This window comes from Homo sapiens, chromosome X (assembly GCF_000001405.40).
Source record: "Homo sapiens chromosome X, GRCh38.p14 Primary Assembly".
Classification (NCBI taxonomy): Eukaryota; Metazoa; Chordata; class Mammalia; order Primates; family Hominidae; genus Homo; species Homo sapiens.
The window spans coordinates 12,573,290-12,590,920 of NC_000023.11; the positions used below are offsets into that span (position 1 = coordinate 12,573,290).

The following is a 17,631-nucleotide window of genomic DNA, read 5'->3' on the forward strand; positions in this document are numbered from 1 at the left end:
AAAAAGGACTTAAAAAGGAAATTTGACTTTTATTCTTAGGTCACTGGTTAATAGCTGCTCAAAAACTCTTCTAGTTTGAAAACTCTCAGAACAAAATGAAGGATAAAAAAGTAGACCAGACCTATGTAGAAGGAATCTTAGAGTGAAGTGGGTAGACCAGCATGCCAGAGACTTCCTCAGAGACCAAGTCCCCAAAACTGTGATTGCTTCTTAAAGACTAAATTCATTTACAGTGGTAATATGGAGCCATGGAGGAAAATTTCACTTTTCAAGACACTTTTTCCCTGACTCCAGTCCCAGTACATATTCTCTTGCGTTTATAAGTTTGTCACTTAACGGGGGTCCATATAGTCTTAACTCCCTGGTTGAGAGACATACTAGAGCAGTGATTCTCAAAGTGTGATCTAGGGACCTCTGGGAATACTGAAGATCCATTCAGGAGATCCAGAATGTCAAAACTATTTTCACAATACAAAGATGTTAGTTGTCCTTTTCACTCACATTCTGTCACAAGTACACAATGGCGTTTTTTGGATGTGTGATCTCACAAGAGACTGAATGCAGAAGCAGATATGAAAATCCAGCTATCTTCTATTGAGCCAGACATTAAAGATTTTTTTTTTAATGTAAAGCAGTGCCACTCTTCTAAATTTTGTTTTGGAACATATATTTTATAAATATGTTGCTTATGTTAAAATATAATGAGTTTATTTATTTTTATTTATTTTTTTGAGACAGTCTCACGCTGTCACCCAGGCTGGAGTGCAGTGGCATGGTCTCAGCTCACTGCAACTTCTGCCTCCCAGCTTCAAGTGATTCTCCTGCCTCAGCCTCCTGAGTAGCTGGGATTACAGGCATGTGCCGCCATACCCAGCTAATTTTTGTATTGTTAGTAGAGATGGGTTTCACCATGTTGGCCAGGCTGGTCTTGAACTCCTGACCTCAAGTGATTCACCCACCTCAGCCTTCTAAAGTGCTGGGATTACAGGCGTGAGCCACCACACCTGGCCTATTATTGTTATTTTAATGAATTAGTAAGTATTTAAAATTTTTTCTCAGTTTTAATTCCCAACATGGTAAATATCAATGGATATAACCCATTTATAAGTGCTATGCTAGAGAATGAGAATATTCTGTTAGACATGTGTGGAAAGGGAAGGATCAGACTAAACTCCATGGAATCTTTAGCATGGTGGAGCCTTTTATTTTTTTATTTTCTATTTTTTGAAACAAAGTCTCACTTTGTTGCCCAGGCTGGAGTGCAGTGGCGTGATCTCGGCGCACTGCAACCTCCACCTCCCAGACTCAAGCAATCCTCCCACTTCAGCCTCCCCAGCAGCTGGGACCACAGGCACATGCCACCACGCCTGAATAATTTTTGTAGTTTTTGTAGAGACAGAGTTTCGCCATGCTGCCCAGGCTGGTCTCGAATTTCTAAGCTCAAGTGATCATCCCACCTCGGCCTCCCAAAGTGCTGGGATCTGAATGGGATCATAGGCATAAGCACTGTGCCCAGCCCGGGGTATTTTAAATACACATTGAAAGGTAGATGTAAATTTCAGGGCTGGGATTTATAAACATCTTCAACCCAATAAAATGCCACATTGAAAATTAGGCTTTTCCTCTGACACTCTCCTAATCTCCTGAGGTTGCTCATTAAATAAGAACATCTATGAAGACTAGTCTCCCTTCCTGACAGCTTTTGTATCAGTCTTCCCCTTCCATGAACTCGTTAAAAGAAGCCCTAATTTCAGGAGAGAGACTGCCAGTCCCTTGGCCATCTGCTGGAAATGACAGATCAGGGAGGTCCCTTAAGTGATGCCATTCATAGAGAACCTATTTGATGTACATGATTATTTGAATGCTATTAATAAAAGAAATAAAAAGTGTACTTTATCCTGAACATCATAATTTATTGTCAGTCTTTTCATGAATCTATAAGGTCAACTATCCTCTTGTTTTCCTCATCTGTTAAGTAGATCATAAAAAAAATAAGTAGTAAATTCACATTTATAAGTAAAGGTCTTTTTTTTTTTTTTCCAGAACCGTATCTTATTTCCCCTATGACCTTTGCTGTTGCTCGGTCCTAATAAAATTGAGGCCCAGGTGGATGATGCTAACATTCTTAGAATCAAGCCAAGTTAGAGCTTCAAGGAACCTTTTAGCATTGAATTCAGTGGTTCTTGAATTCCCCTTTGAGAACCTGTTGACAGCTAGTAGCCCTTTCCCCCAGGAAGATGCATATTGTAGGCAGAATGATAGCCCTCCAAAGATGTCTATACCCTCATGCCCCAAATCTGTGAATATATTACATTACATGACAAAGGACAGTTCAGATTGCAGATGGAATTGAGGTTTCTTATCAGCTGACCTTAAAACAGGGAGATCATCTTGGATCATCTACACAGATTCAGTGTAATCACAAGGGTCCTTAAATGTGCAAGAGGGAAGCAGAAGAGTCAGAGCGATATGAGGTGAAAAAGACTTGATGGGCCATTGCTGGCTTTGAAGATGAAAGGGGCCCATGAGCCAAGGAATGTGAGCAGCCTCTAGAAGCTGGAAAACACAAGGAAACAGACTCCCCCCTAGGGCCTTCAGAAAGGAACCAGCCCTGCCAACACCCTGATTTTAGCCTAGAAAGACCCATTTCAGACTTCGGATAAATCTGTGTTATTTTAAGCCACTAAGCTCATGGTAATTTGTCATGGCGGCAATGGGAAACTAACACAATGCATAACCATGTCTACATATCCAACTTTGTATACAGTTCCAGGGAGGACTGACCCCAGGGTAAGGGCTTCATGATGTGTTCCAAAATCTCATCCGATGGATGTCAGTAGAACCCAAACCCCTTGACTTCTGATCGCCAAAGCTCTTTGTATATAAAAGAAAAAACACTCACCTTCCTACAGCCAAGTTCAGAGTTAAAATGGGCTATCGTTAGATGCTCTTCTCTAATAATAATAAAGCCTTTGACTTCAAGTTGGACCCAAAACATTTTTAATGAAACTAAAATAAGAAAAAGAGGTTTAATCCAGACTTGTAATTGATCATGCTGAAGTTGGAGAGGAAACATTTAAAAAATTCTGAACAGAGCCCACATTAATGCAGATCCCTGAGATATGTCTGGGTCTGTGAGGACACAGGAGGCAGTCATCTGTCCAGAGAAATTTATATTTATACCATACCACATCCTCATCTGCTTAAGGCCTGCTGGCTCCATTTGTGAAACAAGAAACCTGCCAGTCTTTTCTTTCAAGACAGTACCCTCAGGCACTCTTCTGTGAGAATTCAAGCAAGGAAAACAAATCTTTTCTCAGGGTTGCAGAAGGCAGGCTAATAGTAATGGCAAGATAAAGTGGATGTTATTGCTCAGAGGGCACCTTCCTGATGGGATCCTGGGGTATTCGGATGGGGCTCTTTCCACACCCCATGGTAATCCACTGCTATGAGTATCATTAAAGGCTTAGAAATTATCTTTAGCACATTGTTTATAAACAAAAAAGGAAACAGAGATCATTGAGGGTAGAGTATTCACCATTTTTTAGCCATTTTCTCTCTGCCGTAGGGAAAGGTGTAGGAGTGGGCATTCACTCTGAGGACAGTTTAATGAGCTGTGTCTGTCACCTGGACTGGTCAGAGGTCTTTGAGGGACCAGGAATTCCTGAATTCCATGATAGTTGTCAATTTAAGGCTCTGATTACTGTTACATTGCAAATTCATGGATCTGAATTCTGAGGCCCTTGAGAAAAAGAATTATGTGTTTTTCATCATCCCACAGTAGCAAAAGCCTCATATATAGTGGGGGCTCAGTAAATGTTTATTAGTTACTGGGGAGAGATGACACTTTAGTTTTAATCCACAGCTGTTTATTAATTCCAACCATTGCGTTAGGTGCTCTGGATTTCTAAAATAAATCACCAAAAGAACCTTCCCTCCTGGAGAAGGCTACGGTCCAGAGTAGATGAGAGAAGATCCTTATGCAGGCAATGGTAATTGATCAAAATATGATACATGCAATGGGAGAAGTAGGAAGAAAGTGAGGGGGGATTATGGAGTGGGGAGATGCTATTTCTAGAGTGAGGCTTAGGAAGGCTTTTGGGTAGAGGCTTCATTTGAATTGGTGTGGGTGGTCTGTAGGATTTTTTGAGATGAAGATGGTGGAAGAGTTATGCCTCAAGAAGAGGGCAGTGTGGGCAAGGAGATGAGAGTGTGTGGGGAGCCTGAAGCCAGCAAGCTTGGCTAAATCTAAAGTGATAGGAAGGGTGAGGAAGAGTGGGTTATTAGTCATTTAAACCCAGTGCAACCTAAGAGAGTAGCTTGGATGGGACCAAGGGCTAAGGACAAGAGGCCATAGCTGATAAGGAATGGAGGAAGGTGCCCAAGAAGGCAGGGCTTGAAAGCTGGGGAACCAAAAGAAATGTGCCTGAACATAAGCTAGACCTCAGATGGCTGGCAAACTGGAGTGGATGCAAGAGTTTCAGGGCCATTGAAAAGAAAGTTCTACATCTGTCCACTTTGGAGGCTGCATGCAACACTCACATGCCTACCTATTGGGGTATTATTGGGGTCTTAGTCAACTTGGGCTGCCATAACAAAATACCAACGATTGGGTGGCTTAAAAGATAGACATTTATTTTATCACAGTTCTGGAGGCTAGAAGTCCATGATTAGTGTGCCAGCATGGTCAGTTCTAGGTGAAGGCCCGCTTTAGGGCTTGCAGATAGCTGCCTTCTTGCTCTGTCTTCACATGGTAGACAGAGACAGCAAGCTCTCTGGTGTCTCTTCTTATAAGGGCACTAATCTCATCATGAGGGCCTTCCCCTCTTGACCTCATCTAAACCTTATTATGGCCCAAAGGCCCCATCTCCAAATATCATATTTGGGGTTAGGGCTTCAACACAGGAATTTTAGGGGTCACAATTCAGTCCACAGCACTGGGTCAGAGGATTATGCCTGGGAGGTCCCAATCTAGCTGCAGTGGCAGCAGAGAGTAGGACTGCTCACCCGCTGGTGTTGCCAGTAAGATCAGATTGCAGTGAGATCTTTCTAGGATGTGCCTTGGTGACTAGTTTTATGTTTTTTTTATCCACTGTCTACAGTGGGTCATTATCAGATCTAAGTTGGGGCACAGTTTTTTGAGGTGATCATGATATTGAACTGACAGACTCACACGAAACCCCAAATGGATGTAAATGTAGATATAGATAGAAAATCCGTGTCTATTGTATAATTATAAATGTCTACACCTAACTTGTATTCTGAGATATATATATACATACTGTATAGTGTGTTTGTGTGTTTATGTTACTGTTTTCGAACCCTTTTTTATTATCTATACCACCAGCAAAAGAAGCCTTTTTAAGTATTTTCTATTAATTGCACTCGCTAACATTTTAATATCGCAAATATGCTGCATATAAGTTTATATACTGTATGTGTATCTGTGCTTTACATATAGAAAGAATAAAATTTTTGCCCCCCAAAAAACAATTTTCATCCTTGTTGGAGCAATGCTGTCCCTATTGAGAATGCATGATATATATATGTAGATGTGTATCTGTGTCTATGTATGCATGTGTGTGTCACCTTACTGCACAAAAGAGTTTAGGATGCCAAATTAGATGTTGTTTATGCATTCACAATGGAAAATGTAACTTTCCAAAGGAATGAATATTCCTGTCTTCTATCCAGGTATCAGGAAAGTTGAAGTAGTAAATGGGGGTGAAAAAAAGAAACTGCTTAAAGAGCACTGAGTCAAAAGAAAATAAATTGGATAGTCATGGAGAATATTTCATCCAAGGTATAGAAATGCCTGGAATAACTATCTCCCACCCTAACACTAAAACCTGACTTTAGTGAAAAAATCTATGTAGCTCTGTAATATATAAAATGTTGCTGTTTGATAGTGCTAAATGAATTCTCAAAATCGGTTTTTTCCATTCTACTTTTTCTAGACACTCTTCAGACCATTCTTCCAATTTTATAATACAACTATTGTCTCAGACTTCTTACAATGCAACTGAGTAGCTTATAGCCCTTGAGAACATCTTAGTTTTCTTAATTGGATTAGACTGCAGACTCTAGCCTATCTTCAGGGACACATTTCAAAGCCATCTACTAAGGAGAGTTACTTCAGTAGATCCATTATGTATTGTTTTGAGTCATTTCAGCTTCCGGGACAATCGGTTTCTGACCTTGTCTCTAAATCCTTGTGGTCCCCCAGTGGAGCCCACGTGCAGGGATCGTGAGTCAGGGACCGGACTGGGCATGCTCTGTTCAGCTTGCTAGCAGATGTTTAGCTTTCTAGCTCCATTGTAAAGTAGTAATGCTTTTCATATTTTATTTTTTTAAACCCATAGATTTTTTTTAGACAAAAATCAATTTCTTGATTCATCAGAAGCTGATTATTGAGTTAGTACCTTTTCTGAATTCTTCCTGGACAGAAAGTTGAATCCAGTTTGCTTCATGAATGCTTTTTTACAGTCCAAAGGTATTGACAATAAACAAAAGAAAACCGAAAAGACTTTCTTGTCACAGCTCCAGAAAATGATGAGATTGAAGGAAAGAAGACATTAAAACTAAGGGATAAAATGTCTTTGGAAAATAAAACTTTACTCCATTAGAAGGAAAGCTATTGGAATAGGTTAAAAGTTCAGATTACAGATTTGTTTAAAAATAAAAATGAATTTCCACTTCCAGTATGGCCAAAGAAGTTCCTACCAGACTGATCTTGCATAAAACAACTATAAACTCTGGACAAAATAAAAAATATTTAAATACCACAAGGCATTGAAAAATGAACAAAAGCAGTTAGATTCAAGAGGGGAGTTGACACTTGGAAGAAAGGAATGACAAGAGGTAAGTTTACCAGTTTTTGTGGCTTTTAGTCTAAGGCATGTCACAGTTGGCCCCATGTCCAGTGGCTAAAACTCTAATAGAAAACCTATAGTTTTTCTGGCCTGAAGAACAAGGGGCCAGAGTTTGGGGCAACCAGTCCTGCTGGAAAATAAAGAGAGAAATCCCATAAAGGAGAAAGCCAAAGAAGATGTACCCTTCATTCTCTGTACAGTAGTCTCCCCTTATCTGCAACATACCAACATCCCCCAGTTGATGCCTGAAACCACAGATAGTACTGAAACCCTATATATACAATGTTTTTCCTATACCCATGATAAAGTTTAATTTATAAATTAGGCACAGGAAGATTAACAACAATAACTAATAATGAATAGACCATTTATAACAACATACTATAATAAAATTATGTGAATGTGGTCTCTTTCTTGCTCTCAAAATGACTCACCCCTTCTCGTGATGATGTGAGATGATAAAATGCCTACGTGGTGAGATGAATTGAGGTGAGTGATATAGACGTTGTGGCATAGCTTTAGGCTACTATTGATCTCCTTATGCTACATCAAAAGGAGGATCACCTGCCTCTGATGCTCCTGGATTATTGAGCCATGACACTGTTGACCCTAGGATGTCAGGAGCAGACAATGTCAATGACTAATGGGTGTGTAGTATATATAGTGTGAATACACTGGAGAAAGGGATGATTCACTTCTTGGGAGGGATAGAGCAGGATGGCATGAGATTTCATTAGGCTACTAAGAATGGTGTACAGGTTAAAACCTATGCACAGTTCATTTCTGGAATTTTACATTTAATATTTTTGGACTGCAGTTGACCACAGATAACTGAAACTGTGGAAAGCAAAACTGCAAATAAACGTGGACTACTGTATAAACTCTGCTCAAATCTCTGGCTAACTCCTGAACCACACGTGTGCAAGCAAGCTAGAAGCAGTCTAGCTAAAGATAAGAAAACCAAACTGAAATTTTAGCTAATGCCTAAAAGACAGTATGCAGTTTGAGTCCAACCAAATTAGTTGATTGAAATTCTGTTATGTTTCTCTGAAACAGTCTCCACAATATAACATCACAATGTCCAGGATATAATCCAAAATCACTTGGCATATAAAGAAACAGGAAAATTACATGAACCATTCTTAGAGAAGATAATCAATAGAGACCAGGTGCAGATGAGCATAACCATCCTCAATGACCTAAAATATATGTGTAATAAATGAAAAGATAGGCAATCTCAGCAGAGAACTAGAAATTATTTTTCAAATTGAAATTTTAGAACTGAAAGATATCTGAAAAGTAAGTATAACATGATTAAGATTCATATAACAATATATACTAGTGCTTGAAAAACAGTCAAGAAGAAATTTTGCTTAAACTAATGGCCAAGAATCATTTATAATCTGTTTATTAATTTTAAGCAAATAAATTCTACCAGAGTGGTATCCAGTAGGTACTTGAGTGTTTGAATAAATGTCTTACCAGGCCTCGTGTAGCCTGTCTCTCTGTCCTCATGTCCTGCTACTCTCCCTCGGCTCGTCCTCCTCCCGCCCACTGCCTGCTTGTGATTCCTTGAACATGCCAGGCACCCTGCAGCCTGAGGCCTTTGCATTTGCAGTTCCCTCTGCCAAGAATGCCCTTCTCTCAGGTATCCATGATTCACTCCCTCTCTTCCTTCAGATTCTTGCTCAAATGCCATTTTCTCATGAGGCCTTTCCTGCCTCCACCTCCCACCCTGCCATCTGACACTTCTTTATTCATTTCCTATGTTATTTTCCTCCATACTTCTCATTAGCCTCTGACTTGGTGTATATTTGATCTCCATATTTTACTATGTCTCACTAGAATGTAAGTTCCCATGAGTGCAGGGATGTGTGTATGCTTGTCTGCTGTCTCTGCAGTGCTTAGAACAATGCCCGGCACATAATAGGTTATCAAAAATATTAAATGCATGCATGCAAGAATTAATGAATTATCTTCTTACATCTAATTATACAATATGCTATAATCATGAATTAATTGCCATGCTTTCACTATATGCCCTTCACGCAGATATTAAAGTAGATCCCTGAAGATGGTTGCTTTCTCTTTGTATTGGTTCCTTTCTGAGACAGAAAATGTAAGTAATAATAACTGCCTGATGAAAATAGTCTTCCAGTTTTCTTCAGACCATCCATGTCACCAGCAAATTCATTTTCCAAGGCTTAAAAACTTTCATGGCTTCCCCTATTCAGAATGTGCTTCACATCCTATCTTCCAAAGCTCCATGATATCGCCCTTGTCTCAGGTTGCATACCTGAGACAAGGATTTCTGGCAAAGTGATTTATTAGGAAATTTCGCTGGCAAACTCCCCTGTGGGAGGAGGGAGGCAGGACAGGGAAGGGAAGGAGACTGAGCAAGGGTGCAACATCCAGAAAATCCCATGAAGAGGACTTCTGCTCAGCCCTGCAGGAAAGCACTATGGACAGTGAAGGTCACACTTCATAGGTGTCTCCATCTCTAAGGACAAGAAGCTGGAGTCATTCCACCCCCTTATCCTCCTACAGGCTCCTTTCTTTTCATTGTAAATTTTTTCCAGCTCTCTGTGCACACAGGCAAAGCAGCCCAGTGCTGTCAGCCAACCAAGAGACACAGGTGCTGGCTGTTGGGAGTGAAAGCCCCAGAAGGCAGCATGTAGTGAAACAGTAAAGGGATTCTGGGAATACGGGCGTGCACAAAACACTGACAGCATCTGCTGCCTTTTTAACTGGATTCTTACTACTTCCCGGTTGCAAAAGTCACTCATTGCTCTTCCTTCTATGCCTTTGCTTGCAACTCGCCTGCCTTCCCTCTCCCACCATCCAACTGATCCTTTAAGATTGATTTCCTATGCTCCCTCCTCAATCAAGCTTTTCTTGGATTTCAAAACCCTGTGGCACCCTCATTTCTCTGAATCTTCATTATGTCTTTGACCCTGGCATCTGCCACCACCTCTATTACTAATCTGCTATTGGTCACTATGAGAACATATGCTCATCTGTCAAGAGTTTGCATTCTGATTACTCAGCTCCCTTCCAGGGCAAGAATTCTGCAATTGCATGACTTACAATATTCTAAAGTGTATTAAAATCATGAATACATTTATCAACCCTCATCAAATTGTAAACTTCTCAAGGATAAGAATATTTTGTCTTTTGGGGGAAAGGGATGAGAGCCCCAGGCCGGCTGAGACGGCCGGTCCAGGGAAGCTCCGCCAGTACTGGGCACACTCACCGAACATGGCTTCCAGCAGCCGCGTCTGGACCTGGAACACCTCTGGATCTTTCAGGTCTTCGGGAACTTTCACCCACGGCAGAATATTTCTACGTGCCGGGAGCGTTCCCATATTATGATCCTCATAACCAAAACCACGCTCCAGCGCAAGCCAGGCCTAACCGCACCAGCTGAGCCTCAGTGCTGGTAAAGCCTCGCACCTGGCGGCCCCGCCCCCGGCCCTGGCCAGGACCCTGAGTCTGCGCGCCCCGCCGCCCTGTCTGCGGTCCAGCTGGTTGCCATCTCTGCCGCTTCCCGCGACCTCAAGAGAGCCTCACCCGGGCCCAGCTGTCTGCAGGTTAACTAGGGTTTCCACCTGCATTGACCTGTGTCTTTCGCACCAGAATCTCCTGGGCTTGGGAATGGCTGGGGGCGGGGCGCTGTTGACTCTTCTAGGGAACAACCGGTGGGGCCTGAACCTCAGAAAGCGGGCGTCCAGGCTTGAGGGTGCGAGGACCACCCAGTAGCTGCCGAATCGAGTTCCTGCCTCACACGTTCCAAAGGAGGGTCCGTATCCCCTCGGCCCTAAGGAGCAGGACCCGCGGCTCCACTTTGCTGGCAACCTGGGCAACGTCCTGGGAACTCTGGAGGAACTCCTGCCATTGAACAAAGAGGAAACCGAAATTCGGAAATTGATTATCTTACATGAAGGGATTAGCGTTCCTCAAAGCCCCTTGAACCTACCCGGATTTTAAAGCTCACCTGTGCCCTGCCTGGGCACTCGGGCCAAAACCGGTCCAGCCTTCTGGCTCGTCTCTAAATAAATTTGGTTTACTCGTTTTTTAAACATAGTGTTTGGAGCGATGCACTGGATTCACTAGTTGAGAGTGTGATTTCACTGTTTTATGGCTTTACAGATGGTGATGAAGCTGGCATTTCCAGTCCTGGTAACATCTAATATCCCCTCAGCTGTCCATTATTGACGGCTTCTTAAGGCGGACCTCTTCACACACACAAAACAACTATGGGTTCTATTGCAACCACCAGTGTAGTTAATTTAGAAAACGATCATCACTGCTAAAACTATCAGATGAAGACTGTTGAGGAACTAGATAGTCACAAGGTTTGGAAGCCCTAGCCCACATATTATGAATTACAAAGGAGGAAAAAAAAAGAACGTTCCTTTACAATAGAGACTTGGAAGAAGCCACCTTAACCCAAGTTAGCATCACCAATAATGGGAAAAATGGACTTCTGCTTCGTCAATATCTGAAAACAAAAAGAGGACTGTTTTATTACTTGACTAAAGAGACTAAATGCTGTGTGCATGGTTCAAATAATTCTGAATCAAAGGTGAGGGGTTGCATTTCAGGAAAAGGAAGGAAATTTTAGTATACCCTATATTGCAAAGTAGTATTAGAAACTTCTAGAGTGGAATAAGTGTACTACAATTATGTATAAGGTCATTATTCTCAGGAGAAACATGCTAAAGTATGTGGAGTGAATTGGGTTTCTCTATTTTTATTTTTTTAATTTAATTTTTTTGAGGCAGAGTCTCACTGTGTTGCTCATGCTGGAGTGCAGTGGCACTATCTCTGTTCACTGCAACCTCCGCCTTCCGAGTTCAAGTGGTTCTGCTTCAGCCTCCCCAGTAGCTGGGATTACAGGTGCCAGCCACCATACCCAGCTAATTTTTGTATTTTTAGTAGACACGGGGCTTCACTATATTGACCAGGCTGATCTCGAACTCCTGACCTCAAGTGATCTGCGCACTTCGGCCTCCCAAAGTGCTGAAATTACAGGCGTCAGCACCGCGCCTAGCCAAATAATCAATTTTTTTTTTCTTGAGGCGGAGTCTTGCTCTGTCATCCAGGCTGGAGTGCAGGGCGCGATCTCAGCTCACTGCAACCTCTGCCTCCCAGGTTCAAGCAATTCTCCTGCCTCAGCCTCCTGAGTAGCTGGGATTACAGGCCCCTGCCACCACACCCAGCTAATTTTTGTATTTGTAGTAGAGATGGGGTTTCACCATGTTGGCCAGGCTGGTCTCGAACTCCTGACCTCCTGATCCACCTGCCTTGGCCTCCCAAAGTGCTGAGATTACAGGTATGAGCCACTGTGCCCGACCATAATCAATTTTCAATTTCCCATCTCCCATTCCACCTGCAGCCCAAGCTCCATTTTTCCTGTCACCCAGACTCTTATGAAAAATAACCCTCGCTTCTACTTCTGTATACCTTACTTATTCCTAAACACATCATTCCATGGTACCTTCCTTTGCATTTCAGCAAAAGTCACTCTGGACTTGCTCCGTCCAATACAGAAGTCACTAGTCACATGAGGACTGGAAATGTGTCTAGTCTGATTTGAGATGTGCTGTAAGTGTAAACTACATGTAAGATTTTGATGACATTAATACCAAAAAATTAAATATTAACAATTTTAGATTGATTATATGTTTAAAAAAGAATAATATTTTGTTCTCTGAACTACAGCTATGTCTGCTGAAAATTGGGAATAATATATCTAAATCTATTTCATGAAATCAGGAATAATATATGTATAGTGTCTGATACATAGAAGACTCTTGAAATAGATCGATATATTGGCATATCTTTGTACTTCAGGAAGAGCCTATTCAGAGCCTATTCAGCCTTGTACATTAGAAGCATTCAAGAAATATGCATTGTAGAAACAGAAACTAAAGGCCAGATGCTAGTTAGTGGCAAAGGCAAGCCTCTTCACACTGCATGCTGTGACCTTTCTATTCCTCCATGTTGCCAGAGCCAAGAGTTGATTAAATACTGGACAGCTGGCTTTGGCCAAATACTAAAAGAGCTAAAACGCACATGGAAGTTATGTTCAATCACTTAGGACCTCCACCAACCACCTGGTTCCAAGACAGTCCACTTTTAGTCTCAGCCACTCCTAAAGCTTGTTCTTTGCTGTCATTAAACACATAAAGTATGGATCTAATGCCGAGGAGATAGTACCCAGTGGTCCTCCAAAAAGTGGCAGCTTTAATATCTGATGTTTGCATCTTGCTGTTATTATTTATTGCAGAGTTTAACATTCATCATGGTTGGTTGCCCACTGCAAGGTTTGATCTGGATCAGTGGCTGATCATTCTTAATTTAGCTATTGAAATTAATAAGCGGACCATGCAGACATAAGCTTTAGCTGTCACTTGTTTGCTCACTGCTACACAAAAGTGTGGAGACCGGAAGCTAATTCTACAGCAACGATTCTCCTGCTCAGAATCACAAACACAATTTATTATACCCAGAACCTGCCCAAAACATTATTATAAAACCTTCCTCAAGCAGGTGGGATTAATTAGATCTTCCTTTCTCTCAGGCTCTTCCTTTATAGACACTCTTCCTTCTCCTTCCTTTTCCCACTCCTTTCCTTGGAAAAGATCATGTGAATAATGGTACAGGAAATTTGATCATTGTACTTTGCAAGGGAGCTTTCGTTTCCTTTAAGGATTATCCTTACTCCCAGGCAATGCTCCAAAGAGGCACTGAAGAAAATGAGGGAGATTCAGAGAGAAAATTAGCCCCTCAAAGGGAAATATTTTAATGCTTTTTTTGTTTTTTTTTTTGAGACGGAATCTCACTCTGTCGCCCAGGCTGGAGTGTAGCGGTGTGATCTCAGCTCAGTGCAACCTCTGCCTCGCGGGTTCAAGTGATTCTCCTGCCTCAGCCTCCCAAGTAGCTGGGAGTACAAGTTCGCGCCACCACGCCTATCTAATTTTTGTATTTTTAGTAGAGACAGGGTTTCACCATATTGGCCAGGCTGGTCTCGAACTCCTGACCTCGTGATCCACCCTCCTAGGCCTCCCAAAGTGCTGGGATTACAGGCGTGAGCCACCGCACCTGGCCTTTAATGCATTTTTTATTGTGGTAAAATATACATAACCTAAAATTTACTGCTAGTTACATTTAATACATTCATAATGTTTTGCAACCATCATCACTATCTAGTTCCAGAACATTTTCATTACCCCAAAATGAAACTTTATAATCATTAAGCATTTATTTCCCATCCCCCTTCTCCCCACCCCTAGCAACCACTAATCTGCTGTCTCCATGGATTTGCCTCTTCTGGATGTTTCATATAAATGGAATCCTGTAAGATGTAGCCTTTTGCATCTGGCTTCTTTCACTTAATAACATATTTTCAAGGATCATTCATGTTGTAGTATGTATCAGTACTTCATTCCTTTTTATGGCTGAATAATATTCCATTATGAGTGTGTGTGTGTGTGTGTGTGTGTGTGTGTCACTATTTGTTCATCCATTTATCCATTCATGCATATTTGGGTTGTTTCTACCTCTTAGTTCTCATGAATAGTGTTGCTGTAAACGATCATGTACAATTTTTTGTTTGAACACCTGTTTTAAATTCTTTTGGGTATATACAGTACCTAGGAGTGGAATTGCTGGGTCATATAGTAACTCTATGTTTAACTTATTGAGGAATTGCCAAACTTAACACATTTTTAAAAACCATTCTGGCCTGGCCTGTAGAATTCTTCTTATGTCTTTAATTTGAGTTCAGTGGTGCATAAAAGATAGCAATTAAGATAATTGGTTTTTTGTTTGTTTATTTTTGACACGGAGTCTTGCTCGGTCTCCCAGGCTGGAATGCAGTAGCATGATCTCAGCTCACTGCAACTTCCACCTCCTGGGTTCAAACGATTCTCCTGCCTCAGCCTCCTGAGTAGCTGGGATTACAGGCATGTGTCACCATGCCCGGCTAATTTTTTTGTATTTTTAGTAGAGACGGGATTTCACCATGTTGGCCAGGCTGGTCTCGAACCCTGACCTCCAGTGATCTACCCACCTTGGCCTCCCAAAGTGCTGGGATTACAGGCGTGAGCCACCACGCTCAGCCTGAGAATTGTTAAATGATGAAGGAAACTTCATGAAGTGCAAAATGGCAGGGCCCAGGATTTCCTCCCTTTGGGTATAAGGTAAGAATCTAGCAAATACCACATAATACACCTCATGATGCTGTTACTGATCAGGATGGCTGGTCCATGTCTGTGAAGATCTGAATTGAAAACGAAAGTTTTTTATGTTCAGTATGTAAGTCGATAAAGGTGACATTATGACAAGAATCTTAAGAGTGGGATATATAAAATGTTTTGGAGTATTTTACAACTATATCATAGGTTTGAGCATAGCGACAGAGATAATGAGCCTTTCCAACTATATTTCACATTTCAATTTGCTTTCTTTTCCACCTAGAAATAATCCAAATGATTTTGCATGATATAGACAAGCCAATATATTTCCAATTCACTGTATCCCTTTTGTAATGAAATCTCCCACGCCACAAGGAATGCCAATTTGCTTAAAACATCAGTTGCTTATCAGTATATTTCAAATGCCTCTTAATTTAAAATTCTTTTTCTGCCTATTTCAAATGTGTACGTGTATAAACACATGCACACACATACATTTTTTTCTTTTTTTCCAGTGAAATAAATAGAAAACCAAACACATACATACATTTTAAAGGAGAATCATATGCCACTTTTAAAACATCCTGACACCAATTCTCTTATGAATTCTGTAAGAATGTTTGGGGATCATTATTTATCTTCAGTTTTTATAGAATAAAGGGTTTCCTAAGTCGATATTATGTAAATATTTGATTGAAGACACATTGAAATAATTCAGATGACTTTCTGAATATTGTCAGATTATGTTCATAATATAAACACAGGCATTTTAGTGTCACTAATATTTGATAGATTTGAGTCTTAGAGCCTTTGAAAACAATTTTATTCAATTTGTTTTAAATTAGGCTAATATTGAGCTTGATTTTTTCCTTTAGGCCAAAACCAGGTGGCTCACTTGTGGCTTCTATTGTCTAATGATCATATTCAAGAAAGTGGAAATACCATTATCTGAGGATCAAGCTACTGTTCATTCAATCACTTACTAATAAATTCTCAGAATTCAAGGAAAATGCTATGGAGAGAGAAACTGCTCACAAGTGGGAACAATCTCAGATTTTAATATATCCGAAACTGAATCCAGAAAGCTTTGCATTCTATTTAGCAATAATAGTCACACACAGAAAAGGTTTATCTTTTCATGTGGCATGGGTAAGATTAAAAATATTAGCAATTATATTATTATCTATAAACACCTAAATTTGATATCTACAGAGGACAAGTGCCTAAACTCTGTCTATCCAACCTGCATTTTCATCCACTTTCAACATATTAAACACGTTCTGAGACATGCCTATGAAAAGTGAATTGTGGCCTTTCCATGCTTAATTTGCTGCTTAATTGTGCATGATTTTATAATGCCCATAAAATAATACTTATAGGCATAACATTCCAAGGCAGCCTTTTTCAGAAAAGGAGAGTTCGATTTATCTCCAGATGTTTCTACCAAACATTTTCTTTTTTCTTTCCTTCACCCTTCATTCCCACTTCATTGTTGTGATTAACAGCGCAAAGCTCCGTAGCAGAAATTCATCAACTGATTCCTTCCACCTACCAAATCCACATTTTTCAGGTCTCAATTTGAGACATAATGAAAGTCTACTTTGCATAATTATCATATGAGACTATCTATAATTAAATGATGAAATGTGGTTATGCTCCAGTGTGTAGACGAGGCTTTATATGAACTGAAACTGCAAAGGTTTATTTATCTGCTTTAACTTTCATCTGGTGTTTGTGGAAGAAAAACAAAAACAAGCAATTTATTTCCAAAGGAGTTTAGGTCCCCAGTGGACACCTTCTTTTTTAAAATTTCAGGAGAGAAGGTGATTTCTTGAATTGAGGAATAACTGGAGACTTTAATATGATTTCCTCCTCAGCGTCAATAAATATTGCTCACAAGCTTTAAAAAATGCTAATTATCGACATTGCATTTTGAGTTTTGCCTTAAAAATATTTTCTAAAGATTTTAGGATAGCTTTTTAAATACCTGTAGAAAAACCCTTCTTATTATCATGCAAATTTAAAGCTTGGAAAAAAGCCTTTCAAAAGTTTCTCACCTTCATTCATAGTCTTGATTGATTGCCTTTCCATTTCTTCTAACTAGACAAAGTAAAGTTGACTATACCAAGTTTAATATGAAAACAATGATTCTAAAATTTATTCAAGGCAGGGAATAGCATCTCTGAGATTCTTTGTGAAACCCCATGAAGTATTGTTGAATTGAACCTTAAAAACAAAATAAGTAAGCTTGTCTAAATTATATCCTTATTTGCGAAGTATTCTTTGCACACAATTATATGCCATACACTGTCAGAGACTGAAAATAAAGAGATGAATATTAAACAACCTTCAAGGAGTTCAGAATCCAGTAGTATTCCATTCTAAAAGTGCCAAGGCTGCCTCTATCAGTGATTCACTAGGACAAATTCTGGAGTAAAGCTCCAATTTAGGTATGTTTCATCCACTGGCCTTTCCCACCCTAAATGTTGGGAAAAGGCCACCAACATGAAGCATTTGTGCTATTGACATGACTCTGAAAAGAGAGAAGCTTCCTCCAA

At 40.4% G+C, this 17,631-nt stretch overlaps 1 protein-coding gene across 14 annotated transcripts in view, besides 1 other annotated feature; it reads left to right on the forward strand.

The window, feature by feature from the left end:
* Window positions 1-17,631, forward strand: part of FRMPD4 (FERM and PDZ domain containing 4) — a 902,085-nt gene that overhangs the window by 750,851 nt on the left and 133,603 nt on the right. The window lies entirely within an intron of this gene.
* Window positions 6,516-7,715: an enhancer, noted in NCBI's record as "BRD4-independent group 4 enhancer chrX:12597924-12599123 (GRCh37/hg19 assembly coordinates)". NCBI's record gives its function as "activates an origin of replication core promoter dependent on BRD2, P300/CBP, MED14 and CDK7 cofactors, and independent of BRD4, by STARR-seq in HCT116 cells {active_cell/tissue: HCT116}" and the evidence as "EXISTENCE:reporter gene assay evidence [ECO:0000049][PMID:35650434]".